This window comes from Homo sapiens, chromosome 7 (assembly GCF_000001405.40).
Source record: "Homo sapiens chromosome 7, GRCh38.p14 Primary Assembly".
NCBI lineage: Eukaryota > Metazoa > Chordata > Mammalia > Primates > Hominidae > Homo > Homo sapiens.
The window spans coordinates 16,521,524-16,534,785 of record NC_000007.14 but is presented as its reverse complement, the minus strand read 5'-3'; the positions used below and the strand labels follow the sequence as shown (position 1 = coordinate 16,534,785).

Genomic DNA, 13,262 nt, shown 5'->3' with positions numbered 1-13,262 from the left:
GTGAGAGTACATTAACTTCATCTGTTCCTATGATAAATAATAAAGAAATCATTACATGGCTACATCAGAGTATCTCATGCCCCACTCAGAGGATTTCCCATAAAAGTTATTTCATTTTATTTTATTATTTTATTTTATTTTTTGAGACTGAGTCTCGCTCTGTCACCCAGGCTGGAGTGCAGTGGCGCGAAAGTTGTTTTAATACACTAAAACTTTAAAGTATTAACTGTGTCAAGTTACTGTCATTAATTTTTTCTTGTAGCAGTAATATCAATGTTGAATTTTCATTGATTAGGTAATGTAATAAATTCATTTTCATTTTTCTTTTTTAAAATTTAATTTTTAAAAAACTTTTACGAGCCCACATCTGATATCATATAAATTCACTTTTCAAGGGTACTTTAACTCTTTCACGTCAGAAGGGTTTATTCTGCACATAAACCTGTCCTAAATCAATAATGGGCTGTTACATTATAAGGTGAGGCCAGTCAAAGGATAATGAGAGGTAATTCTACTAATGATGGCTATGACTCATGCTGACAATAATTATCAACATCTTGTTACAATGTATGTTCTCCATGATCACTCAAGAACACATCGATAAGATGCTTTCCATTTCCCAGAGTCAAGAGAAACTTGGTAAATAACTCAGTATACCAGTGTATTGGCATCTGGACTGGGAAATAGTTTTTGTCCACAGCTGGATGAAATGGTAACTTAGTGTCCTTAAAATGTAAAAGGTGTTATCCTTCTCACAAGGAGTCGATTAATTATCTACTGTCAGGTGATCAATATCTCAGATTTCTAGTATTTTAAAGCTACTCTTATTATCTACTTACTGTAGTGATCAATAGTATACAATTGTCAAAATCATGAAAGATGCAATCTTTTGACCACATGAAATATTTACTGTTATTTTAAAACTAACTGACCTATATCGAGAGGCTCAAAGCATGACCTTAAATGTGTCAGAATGCTCTACCATACCTGTTCCATACTAAAAAATATATTTTTAAACATTTCAAACTGGTTATCAATTTATTCCTTTACTACCAAGAGATTCAGAGCCATTACAAAGGTAAACACTTTTCTCTGTACTGATAAACATATTTATTTATAATAAAATAAATATGTTTAATAATAAAGGATTTCCCCAAATCACTAGAAATAAGTGATTAAATTTGTTGATAAACTAAGGCATTTTCTTTACAAGAAGCTGAGTTCCAAAGATTACATATGAGCAAAAATACGTCAAGCCTATTTAAAAATAATACACAGAATTCAGAGGCATTAAAAAGCACAAAGTAAGGGGGACAAAATGTAGGAATAGGGTCATTGTGCTTAAAATGCAAACTTCAGTGTCATTTATCGGCCAGTGAGAACTGTGGTATCAGAGTCTAATCTTATTTATAACTCCCTTTTCCTCTCATACCTGGGTTCTATCTCATTCTACTCTATAGAAAAACCCAATTTGTTGTCTGCCACCTTGGGGAGTTCGAGTGGAATCAAAGTGGTCTGTTGATATAAGAGAGGGATTTTTCTACTTACCAGTAAAACTGGTATGGGGATTGGTAGAGGTTGTAGTATAATGGAGTTCATTATCATAGTATGTGGTATAATGATTCCTAATAATAGTAATAATGTTAACCATACTAATACTCATTGAGTGCTTGCTGTGTACCAGTAACTTTGACTAACTTTTACTAACTCACCTAAGCTTCACAACAACCCTGAGAATGAGGTAGTATAATTATGCCCAGGGAATAGCGTTGCCAGATAAAATACAGGATATCGGGCTACATTTGAATTTCACGGAAACAGTGAATTTTCCAACTACTATGTGGGACATATTTATACTAACTAAAATTATATTCGTTGTTTCTATGAAATTCAAATTCAACTGGATGTCCTATATACTTATTTGTTAAATCTGACAATCCTAATAGTGAGGTTATATGACATACCCAAGATCACCCAGCTGGAAGAGACAGAGCTGGGATTCAAACAGCCTGTCTCCATAATTTTTTTTTTTTTAATCAATTTCAGTATCTTGTCTCTCCAATAGAAAACTGTGGATTCCAGGAAGTGGTAAAATAATTGGAGTCCTACCCAGTCCTTGAGGGGGAAAAATGGAAAATAACATTTGAATCTGTGAAACATTTTAACATGATCATGATAACATGATACTCTTTCATTTTTTATGTTAAGTACACTTACTTTTTAGAAAGGAACAGCTCAAAGACATCAGCATCCCTCCTGTGGCCACATATCTTTAGCTGATCTTCAACTGCCTGATAACATATAATTAATCTGTCAAACTACATTCCAATGAACAAAAGTGCTGAGGCACTTGCAGTCAGTAACAATAACGTCTACAAGAAGATCAAAAGAAAGGTGAATATGGAGGTAACCATTCTAAACTGATAAATTCCAAGGCTACAATTATATATTATTTACTCATTTTTGTGGTTGAATTTCATTATCCTTAATCCTGGGCACAGATGTTTAAATAATTTTTAATCAGAGAGAAAAAAATATGTATGTGTACGTATACACCAAAAGCAAGTTTTTTTTATTCTGTATGAGGCAAGGTAATTTGGTCTTTAAAGAACTATTTTTAAATGATTCTTTGAACATGAAGAATTAGTATTTCATAGGTTTCCTATAGAGAATTCATGCAGTATCAGGGTTGGAGGTGGAGAGAGTAGGATAAAATGTATGTTATTATAGGACATTCTTTTTTGTGCCTATCACATTATGCTTGGCACCCAGTAAATTCTCAGAAAATGTGAAATGAATGAATACATGTCATTTTTCTCTGAACAAATGAATAAATACATTTTCCCTTGCTTGGCAAGCAGCAGTGACTTCGTTTCTCATGAGTTGCTAACATACTCATGCTGTGAGAATTTTTGGTGGAGAAGCAGCTTTTATTCCCATAGCTCTGTTTTAAAAATAAAACTTTAGCAACAGCTATTTAAATGCTTTACTTTTTTTTCTTAAAGTCCTTTGCTAAATTATAAAATAATGTTAATAGGCCACATGACCTAAAATAATATGAAAAAAGTAAAGTCTGTCTGTAATTTTCCATGAGAAAGTAGAGCTCACAAGACATGACAAAAGTGAAAAGTATAATCTTTGCAATCCTGGAATCTGACAAACATTGTAATTATCAGAGTCAAAACAATCACCGAATTTTAGCTGGGATTTGTTATGAATGGTGAGGTTATAATGACTTATAAATCTTTCTGGGTGATATATGAAATTTTGACAGTGGTTTTGCTATTTGGTAGAGGACTTTAACAGGAGTTATATTTAGTGCAATGAACATATTTAAAGAAATGAGGAAGATAGGTACGCTAGTGATGGAGAGCAGCTGCAAATGTATAGTCCTGAACTTCCCTTGATGCCTTGTTAATAAGCAAGCTGAATCTAGGGGCTTGGAGCATTCATAGGCTCAGGTTTAGGCATTGCCATCAGGGTGCTTTGTTATCCAGTTACACAAGCCGACCTGGGGCTTGGAAAAACCCATTGGATCAGGCTTAGACATTGTCATCTGGGTTTTGTTTTTTTTGTTTGTTTTTGTTTTTCTTTTTTTTTTTTTTGAGAGAGTTTTGCTCTGTTGCCCAGGCTGGAGTACAGTGGTGTGATTTCAGCTCACTGCAACCTCTGCCTCCCAGGTTCAAGCAATTCTCCTGCCTCCCAAGTAGCTGGGACTACAGGTGCACGCTGCCACACCTGAATAATTTTTTGTAGAGATGGGGTTTCACCATGTTGGCCAGGCTGGTCTCAAACTCCTGAGTTCAGGCAATCTGCCTGCCCTGGCCTCCCAAAGTGCTAGGATTACAGGAGTGAGCCATTGTGCCCAGCCCTCATCTGGGTATTTTAACTTAAAGATGTCAACTATCAGCCTCTACTACGTACAGTCAGTCACATCTTTGCATAGTGTTTGGGGTGGTTATAGCCCAGCCAAAGAAGAATTAAAACTTGGCAGCCATCTGTTAAAATTATAAATGTGCTTTTAAATTGATCCAGCCATTCTACCTCCAGGACTCAGAAACACACAGGTGCATACACCCAGACAAATGTGATTATCACTGCTTATTTCAGCATACATTTTCTGTGGTTGTGAAATAGTCCCCACTAATTGGAATGCAGGTTAAATTGACATGTGACATCACAATGGAATACTGTGAAGTAGTTTCAAAATATAGAGAAGTGGTCTGATGGTTAATTTTATATATAAATTTGACTGGACTAGGGGATGCCCAGAAGCTGGTAAAACATTATTTATGGGTGTGTTTCTGAGGATGTTTTTGGAAGAGATTAGCATTAGTATTAGTGGACTGAGTAAACAAGATCACCCTCGCCAACAGGGGTGGATATTATCCAATCCACTGAGGGCCCCAATAGAACAGAAAAACAGAGGAATGTGAATTCATGCTTGCTTCTGGAGTTAGGACATCCATCTTCTGCCTTCAGACATCAGCATTCCTAGTTCTCAGGTCTCTGGGCTTGGACTAAACTACATTACTGGCTCTCTCCTGGGCTCCAGATTGCAGACAGCAGATTGTGGGACTTCTCAGCCTCCGTAATCAAGTGAGTCAATTCCTCATAATAATAGTCTTTTTCTATATATCTCTATATATCCTATTGTTTTGTTTCTCCCGAGAACTCTAATAATACAGACAGATATCTAGACATCTAAAGATATCGAAAACATATTTATAAATAAAAAGTAATTGGCAGTATAATATGTGTAACAATATTTCTGTTAAAAGTCATATTTATATGAATACAAAATGCACACACTTCAAATTACTAGCAAAAGTCAACACTTGAGATCATGAGGGACTTTCACTTTCTAGGCAATATATATTTTTAGTGATGTTTTAGTATTTCACAATAACCACATATTAATTTGATAATCAGAAAGTAATGCATGTTTTAAAAATTTTAGCCATAGAATGAATATTTAAAAATTTAAATCAAATTTCAAAAAATGTGAGGTGAAAGGGAAATTGAATGTATCAGCATAATATGTAAATCACTATCATAATTATTTATTTACACAAGTTTTTATCACAGCATGTTTCTTTCCAATCAATAATTTTGCATGAATCCAGTACAAAATATTAATATCAAAGTGCCCAGAAACATGAAAATGTTCCAATTCACATTTCAGTGAATCCATGGTGGAACAATTCCAGTTCCCAGTGAACACACAGCTTCACTAGTACTATATGCCCTCATCTAAAGGAATTCAATTAAGTTTGCCATGTTATAGGGGCACAGTTCGTGGTCCCTTAAGCAATTACGATAGTAACATTAAAAAAACCCCAAAAAACAGTATCTGCAAGTACAATACAGTGAAGCACAGTAGAAATGAAGTACACCTGTACTGTTAGCCTGGACACGCTGGAAGATTTCAGGGCACAACCGACAGTCAGGCTGGGCCTTAAGAGGTGAGGTGAAATTAGAAATGGGATGTTGGTGGAAGAGGAGAGTAAGCGCACAAAACAGAAGAAGCAGAAGAATGTATAAGGTATGTGGGGCTGTACAGCCTTTGGCTGAAGTAAAAGGCATGTGGAAGGCAGTTGTGAGAAATAAATTAAGAAAGGTGGGTTGGGGTCATATTATTTATGTCAACTTTGAAATTTAGGCTCAGAAGTGTGTACTTAATCAGTGCCTGGAGAAAACTTCTTCAGGCCTTGAGAACTCTAACTTAACATCATTTAATTTTATATGATATATAAACACATGTATATGTACATATATATGAAATATATATTCTAAGTAACTGTATGGTAAAATTCATGTGAGAAAGTCTAATTCTGATTTTTCCCAGGATAACAATGTCAATGCTTTTACACAATATCCAATATCAAATTGTTTCAGAAACACTTTTCCTCCTTCTCTGTTAGTGCTCTTGCTTTGTTGGTACCCTGAAAGCACAGAACTAACTATTGGGTGATTCAGCATTATGCTCACTTCTGGGGCAATAGGAAGATATTACTGGATTTTTGAACTAGAAAAAACATGTGACAAAGCCAGGCTTCAGGAAGATGACTCTAGCAGTGATGTGTATGGGGGCCTGGTGTGCAGTGAGAACTGCAGACAGGAAGCAAGACTGCCTCTGGGAAACAAAGTCTGCCAGCTAATGAGCCTGCCCCCTCAGGGTGGGGGCAGGTGTGAGTGAGCAGTGAACAGATATGACATGGGGTGTGTTTAGGGAGAATGAATGGGAACTGGCAAGTAAATGGAGGCAGAGAATTAGCACGAGGGAAGTCACAGGTGATGATGATGATGATGTGATGACTTGATGAGAAAGATGATGGGAGGGAAGACAGATGCAGCTGAGAAATGCTGAAATTGAGGCCCTGGTGGAACAGACTGGTCAAGGCGCCCACCAGAAAGCTGCAAGGGTAAATGTGGAACTCATCAGAGATCTCATCAGGGCAGCTGTGCAGATCTGATAAGTCAGTTAACCAGAGGAGAGTGGGATCCAAGGAAGATCACGATGAAGTGTCTACATGGAGAGAAGGGAGAGGGAAACATGATGGAAAGGAGACAGAGGAGGATGATTGTCAAGTGAGGTAGAAGAAGAAAAGGACAGCAGGAGGCAGAGGAGCATTTGAAGAAGGTAGAATTTCAATCTACAACATTGTTTTGGCTGGTGGAGGATGTCACTCAGAAAAGGTACTGAATTTAGAGGCCTGAATTTCAGTAGCTTGAAGAGGGTGAAAAGTCGGATTTTAAATTAGTTGGTTAACCTAAAAGGAGAATAAAAAGAGTCCATCACAAAATTGGGATGTGAACAGTTCTAGCATGGGGAGAACAGCAGCTGCTTCTTCCACCACCCGATGCCTGAGGATCTAGAATCAAAGGGAAAAAAATGTTTGAAAATGGCAGGATTATTAAATCCTAGAAGAATAAGGTCAGTATTAAAACCTATAGAAGAAAATGCCCTCTCTGATGATAAATTCTTATACCTCCATGCAACACGCAGGCACAAGTTAGGACTTAGTGTGAAGAGCTTTCAATTCATTACAGAACTCTCGGCCTCGTTTAATCACAGCAGCCCCCCATCTTTGCAGATGAGTCAGAGAACTCCAGAAAGCCTTGCTAGGTCTTACCTGGCACAATTCTGAGATTTTTTTTTCCCCACCCAAATATCCAAATATTCTTTTAATCATTATCTTAACTGCTCTCGACTCTGCTTGTAGGGCTCATCAAATAACGTTTTCTCTTCAAGGTGTTGATTTGCCCTTGCTGGGAACAATATATTAGGGATACACACCCACACCCACATCCACACACACACACACACCCCTGTTGGAGAATCAAGACTGCGAAATTTACTTAATCTCCGTTTCACTTAATCTGCAAACCACTATAATTATATACGCAGCAGATGCTGAGTGGTAAAAGGTCAGTGTAAGTCTACTGGTGTGGACTGGGAAGTCCTCAAACCCCACCCAGGGGATTAGGACCTCTAGCCCAGGCAGAGATGCTGAGGGGGGTTCGCCACCGCTCGTAGCTGTTCACATCCCAATTTTGTGCTGGATTCTTTGTTCTCCTTTTATGTTAACCAATTAATTTGAAATCTGACCTATCTCCGTCTTCAGGCTACTGAAATTCCCCTCCAAATTCAGTACCTGCCTGGAGTCCTCAGGCAGGAGGTGGGGCCCTGGGGCAGGGGGCCAAAGGGGCTGATGGCTTGGGAAGGCAGGTGCCGCTTACCCGGCGACTGCTCTGTAGGGCAGTTTCGGATGCCCTCCGTAGGCGCCAGCATCGCAAGGTACGGGGCACGGGGTTCGGGTCCCAGGACATCAGGACACATGGGCGGCCGAAGCAGCGGTGATTAATCCGGCCTCGCCCGCCGGTGGCACCGAAGAGAGACTTGGCTTGGTGCACAGCTCGTTGTTCTGTTACCAACAGTTACCGCATTCCCGTTGACTAAAAGCCAGTCCACACTGGGAAATATTTGAAGCCAAACGCTGACTTTTGTGACGTTTGAGCGTGTGGCCCTGCAACACCCACCCTTGTGCCTCGGACACACGCGTGTTACCCCTGCTCATGGTGATGCGTCCGGTGGATGCCGGAGAGCGGGGGTCAGCTATGTCCGGGACCAGGAGGAGGTCAGAGCGCCTCAACGGCAGTCACCCAGTAATCATCACTTTGATTCGAGATATGAATATCAGGAAATTTAGGTTTCTGGAAATTAGACGTGTGTGTGTGTGGACCCCTGGCCTCATGTACGGGCTGGGGGTGAAGAGGTGCGCTGCAGAGTCGCTGTGGATCTTGACGCAAGAGGAAAAAAGACAGTACTACTGATCGTGTCTCTAAAAGTTTGAAATTTTGTTCATTATGCATGTTATTTGCATACATTTTGTTTTTTTTTTTTTAATATTGCATTAAGATATTTATTTTGAGGTCGGGTGCGGTGGCTCAAGCCTGTAATCCCAGTGTTTTGGGAGGCTGAAGCAGGTGGATCACCCAAGGTCAGGAGTTCTAGACCAGCCTGGCCCACATAGAGAAACCCTGTCTCTATTTTAAAAAAACACAAAAATTAGCCGGGCATGGTGGCATGCGCCTGTAATCCCAGCTATTTGGGAGGCTGAAGCAGGAGAATAGTTTGAACCTGGGAGGCAGAGGTTGCAGTGAGACAAGATCCAGCCATTGCACTCCAGCCTGGGTGACAGAAGGACACGCTGTCTCAAAAACAAACAAAAAAAAATATTTATTTTGAATGCTGAGTTTTTGGTGCTTCTTACATCTGGGTCCAAGGCCACTGCCTTACTTGCCTCATCATAGACCCACACCTGGGATGAAGGTGGGGGTGGTAGAATTAAGGCTCCTCAAGAGTCCAGGTGCACAGAAAAATGGAAGGAACTCTCTACTGACTTCATTGGCTAAGAACAAGTACATATTGTTTCAGTAGCTGAGAAATCCTTTCTCTGGCAGAAAATGGACAAATTGAGCCACTATTTGGCCAATCTTTCCAACCTTGTTTTTTGTTTTTGTTTTTTGAAATTTCTGTCTCCTGTAACTGTATTGGAACCTCTAGTATAGATTATCTTGTGACTTTATTTATATGAGGCTTGTTCCCTCTAGCTTGGGTAACTTTGGAGGCAGGATCCTGTTTAAGACATCTCTCTCTTCTGCCAGAGCTTAACGGACTGCGCTTAATTAATGTTGACTGGATTAAACGAGTTGGTTTCTTGGCTCCAAATTTGAACCTGAAATCTAGGAATCAAATGTAGCTTTCTGAAATGGGTCAAGCTACTTGCATTTAAAAAAAAATGCTGGTGTTGAAATGAAGCATTAAAAAATGTCTCAGTGGGGAAATCAAGTACACATTGTTTCAGTAGTTCTAATATGTATTTGGGGCTGAGGTGGGGGTAAAAGCTCTCCAAGTTATTGTGGAGGGATTAATCATCTAAGAACTATTGTTTAAGTAGTTTCTATCCTGGAAATAAAACTCAAATGAGAGAAATGGTCCACTGAGAAGGCATATATAATAATTCATTGGCTCATTTTTGCTGTTGATATGTGTTATAGCATTGCAGATATTATTCACGAATATGCTACATGAAAAAATGGAAATGCACAATACTTGTTCAGTTTTCTACATTACACAAATGTGACTTTATAACCATATGCAAAATAGTTTTAAAGAGCATCTTGCAGATGTAAACTAGTCACCAGTTAATTTCTACTAAAATCACATTAAAAATTTTTATTCTTATTTTTTTAGCATTTTACCCCATATTAAAAAGGTAATTTTGAAAAAAACCTTATTCTTAGGAAAGGAACTCAAAACTCACTTATTATAAGGTCTTAATGTGTTCCTTCTTCAAGAAAAAATTAACTGATCACGAAGGCTAAAATAAAGCAAATTTAATTATGGAATCTCAAGGATGGAGGTTAATGAAGGCACTTTTTGGACAAAAGCTCCTTCCCAGACATTCTCACATTGGTGACATGAAATTTTTACAAAAGAATTACTCCCAGTAGAGTGAGCAGAGAGAACTTTTACCTCCATGGGGTAAGATTATAGCCTGAGGAATCCAGCCTGAAATTTTTAAAATTCATGTAAAATATGCATTCTTCTTTACAATCAATCTTGTTTTAATATAAAAATAAAGCAGTTCCCCAAACTCTCCTCAAATCTTTGTGTAATATTTACATTGAAGCAAGACACCCTGTGTTTATCCTGTGGCTTTACCTCCCTGGCTTGCTGCCATTGCCCGCAGGGGTATGCATATCCCAGTTTGAAAGCTCTATCATATCATGTACATGGATTTGGATAAGAAGAAAGAACCCTCTGCTCCAAGTCAGGGCATGTGGGATTTAGTCTCAGCTCTGACATCAACTAGTTGTTGGCCACCTTCAAATCACTTAATGTCTCTGGGCCTCAGTTTCTTCAACAGTAAAAGCTGGAAGTTCAGTTCAAAAAATTTATTATTTGATTAACTCTCCTAGACAGGTTGTGTGTATTGTTTACAGAGTAAAAGATTCTTGTATTGATATAGAATAAGTTTTTAAGAACAAGTTTTCAGTGAAAAATGTGTGAGAAAAAAATTATGCATGTGATGGCTATCGTTAAAACTACATAATTTAAATAATTCTTTCTAATTTTGTCTTTAATAATTCCAGTTATCAATCTAGATATTGTTTTTCTAAGTGAGTGAAAAATATTTATTAGATACAATGATCATTATCACTCATTTTCTACTGTGTGAAATGAGCATAGAATAAACAATGTATCGGCCGCAATCAACATACATATTCTTATATCACATGTATAAAAAGATATATCTGGCCAGGCACAGTGGCTCATGCCTATAATCCCAGCATTTTGGGAAGCCAAGGCGGGAGAATCACTTGAGGCCAGGAGTTCAAGGCTGTGGTGAGCTATGATCACACACTTTACTCCAGCTTGGGCAACAGAGTGAGACCCCCATCTCTAAAAAAACAAATATTCAAAATTTATAAAAATACATGTTTTTATGATATTCGATGACCAAGCTATCAAAATTTTCATTATTATAATTTTAGGTAAAAGAACATCCCATTTTAATTGATAGCTACAATTCTTTTTTTTGTTTACATAAAATGCAAATAACAATGGAATATTGGGGGAAAATTCTCCAGGAGTCTCTCCTGTTACTGCACATAAGCAAAGGCACTAACTGCCTTTGGTAAGGACTACATTTTCAAGGATATTTGTATAGCAAACAGCCTTTGAAGATACAGTGTCTACCTACAGCCTTGGTAGATATAGCGTCTACCTTCAGAGCAAAAAGTAGGTGTTTTTTTTTTTTTTTTTTCAACTGAGCAGTATAATAAAGATAATGTCTCCCTCATTTATTATAAAGATAAGCTGAGGCAACTTACTGCCCAGTATAAAAGGTCTGGCTTCCTTAAGTTCAAATTTCCTCTTCTGTAACACAACCCACTCTATGTGCTCATATCACCTGGCCCATTTCACATCGCCCTCTGGAAATTGTGGGTAGGAGAACTGGTAGAAATACTAATATTCTATCTATGCTATTACCATGAGTAATAAGCTATCCTTTGTCTCTAAGCCAGAAATATCATCTTTTGCCAGCATCTGTGAAACTGTGGTAGGCTAACTTTTGCTTCTCTGTATATAGGTGGATTTTAAATGAGATTAAACCATGTAATTTGTTCCTCATCCTTCATTTTTCTCTTTACCATCTCATCAACCTCCATCTTTTCAAGTGAGTGTACATAGAATTACAAAATTGAATTGTGGCATTACGTTCCATTGTCATGTATCTTACATTTTACTTACTTACTACTCCATTGATGAACACTTGTGTTGTCCAGGTTTTTACTCTGACAAACAATGTTGTAACAAATGTCTTAGCATACCTGGATTACTATTCCAGTAGCTGAAATTCCTTCATGAGATTATTGGATCATATATGATAATGCCCCTTTCTGGATAGGGTATCTTTCTCTATTTGACATCAATTTTGTTGAACTTTCCAATCTAATTGGAGAAATTTTTAATGTCAATGTTTTGGTTTATATTTATTTAGGGAAGTTTATGATCTTTCCAAATCTTATTGGTCATTTGTATTTTTTTCTGTGACTTGTCTTTTATATTCATTGCTTAACTTTTAATATCCAAATGCCAATGAAAAGCACTGCAAGCTGGATCTATAAAGTGTTTGCCATTTATTTCTTGAAGTCACCAATGGGTAGCCTCAAGTCATCTTGCAGCATCCTGCAAAGCTGTCTTCTCTTTCCCTCCTCTTCCTTGCTAATGTCTGCTGCCCTTCAGACTATTGAAATAAACTTCATTTCTCTAAGCCCAAGTGTCCTCTGCTAGTCTCTAGGATCCATGCCCAGGATGCTATCACCTGATTTTCTAAGTATCAACTTTTTTGTTTTTGATTATTAGAGTGGTGGTGGGTTTTGAGCTGATAGGAGAAACACTGCTTTACTCCAACCCATGTGACATTTTGCCATCAAGGTTCTGAAGAAACACTGTTCACATGCAGTTTTTCTTAAGCTCTTTCAGGAAAGCAGCCACTTCCACTTCTTCCATATGCACCTCAACTCTTTCAAAATTTGCACACAATCTTCCAAATACCTACCTGTATAGGAACAGAAAGTGGTTCAGATTTGTAAACATTCCTACACTGTCTGGAAAAGCTAGATGCTGTTAGACACAACTTCAGCTTACCTAAAATGATAACAATAATAATAATTTTCAATTCCAAACCAGTACAGCTTCAGTGTGATTTCACATTTCCTCCCAAGAATAATGGGTCCCCATGTCTAAGCTCTGTCTATCCTCATAAACAGCCACCATTTGCTTATCCCTTGGGTCTAGGGGAACACATGCCCATCATTTCAGCGTAGGGTAAGATCTCCAGTGGGCACTCCTTCTCCTCCAGTGAGGAGGGCCAGAGCAGCCCTTCTAAATCATGGAGCCAAGGACAGAAACCTCTAGCCTGAAATTAGAGATGGAACAGAATGGAAAAGTCAGATAACTTACAGAAGTTAACTTCCGTTATGCCAGAAGCCACTGAAATTACAAAGCCTTTCCTCACTTCACTTAATTTAGACTTGGTGATAATTATTGACAATTATTCTCTGCCTAAACTGACAGAGAAGTCTTGTGAATGTTAGCAGGAATGTCACATATTATCACACATATGATACAAGAGTCAGGCATTTGAAGCATAAATACTCTAGAAATATATAGATACATGCATGCA

At 38.0% G+C, this 13,262-nt stretch overlaps 1 protein-coding gene across 2 annotated transcripts in view; it reads right to left on the bottom strand.

Annotated features, from left to right (window-relative positions):
• The window catches only part of LRRC72 (leucine rich repeat containing 72), a 54,744-nt gene extending 46,783 nt beyond the window's left edge, over positions 1–7,961 (bottom strand). For both annotated transcript variants that reach the window (XM_011515057.2, NM_001195280.2), the window contains exons 1-2: positions 7,744–7,961; positions 2,218–2,291 (exon numbers count right to left, since the gene is read on the bottom strand). In XM_011515057.2, coding sequence (XP_011513359.1) covers positions 2,218–2,291; positions 7,744–7,833 — 164 coding nt within the window. In that variant the 5' untranslated portion in view covers positions 7,834–7,961. The remainder of the gene's footprint in view (positions 1–2,217; positions 2,292–7,743) is intronic.
• Positions 7,962–13,262: the final 5,301 nt, after the last annotated feature.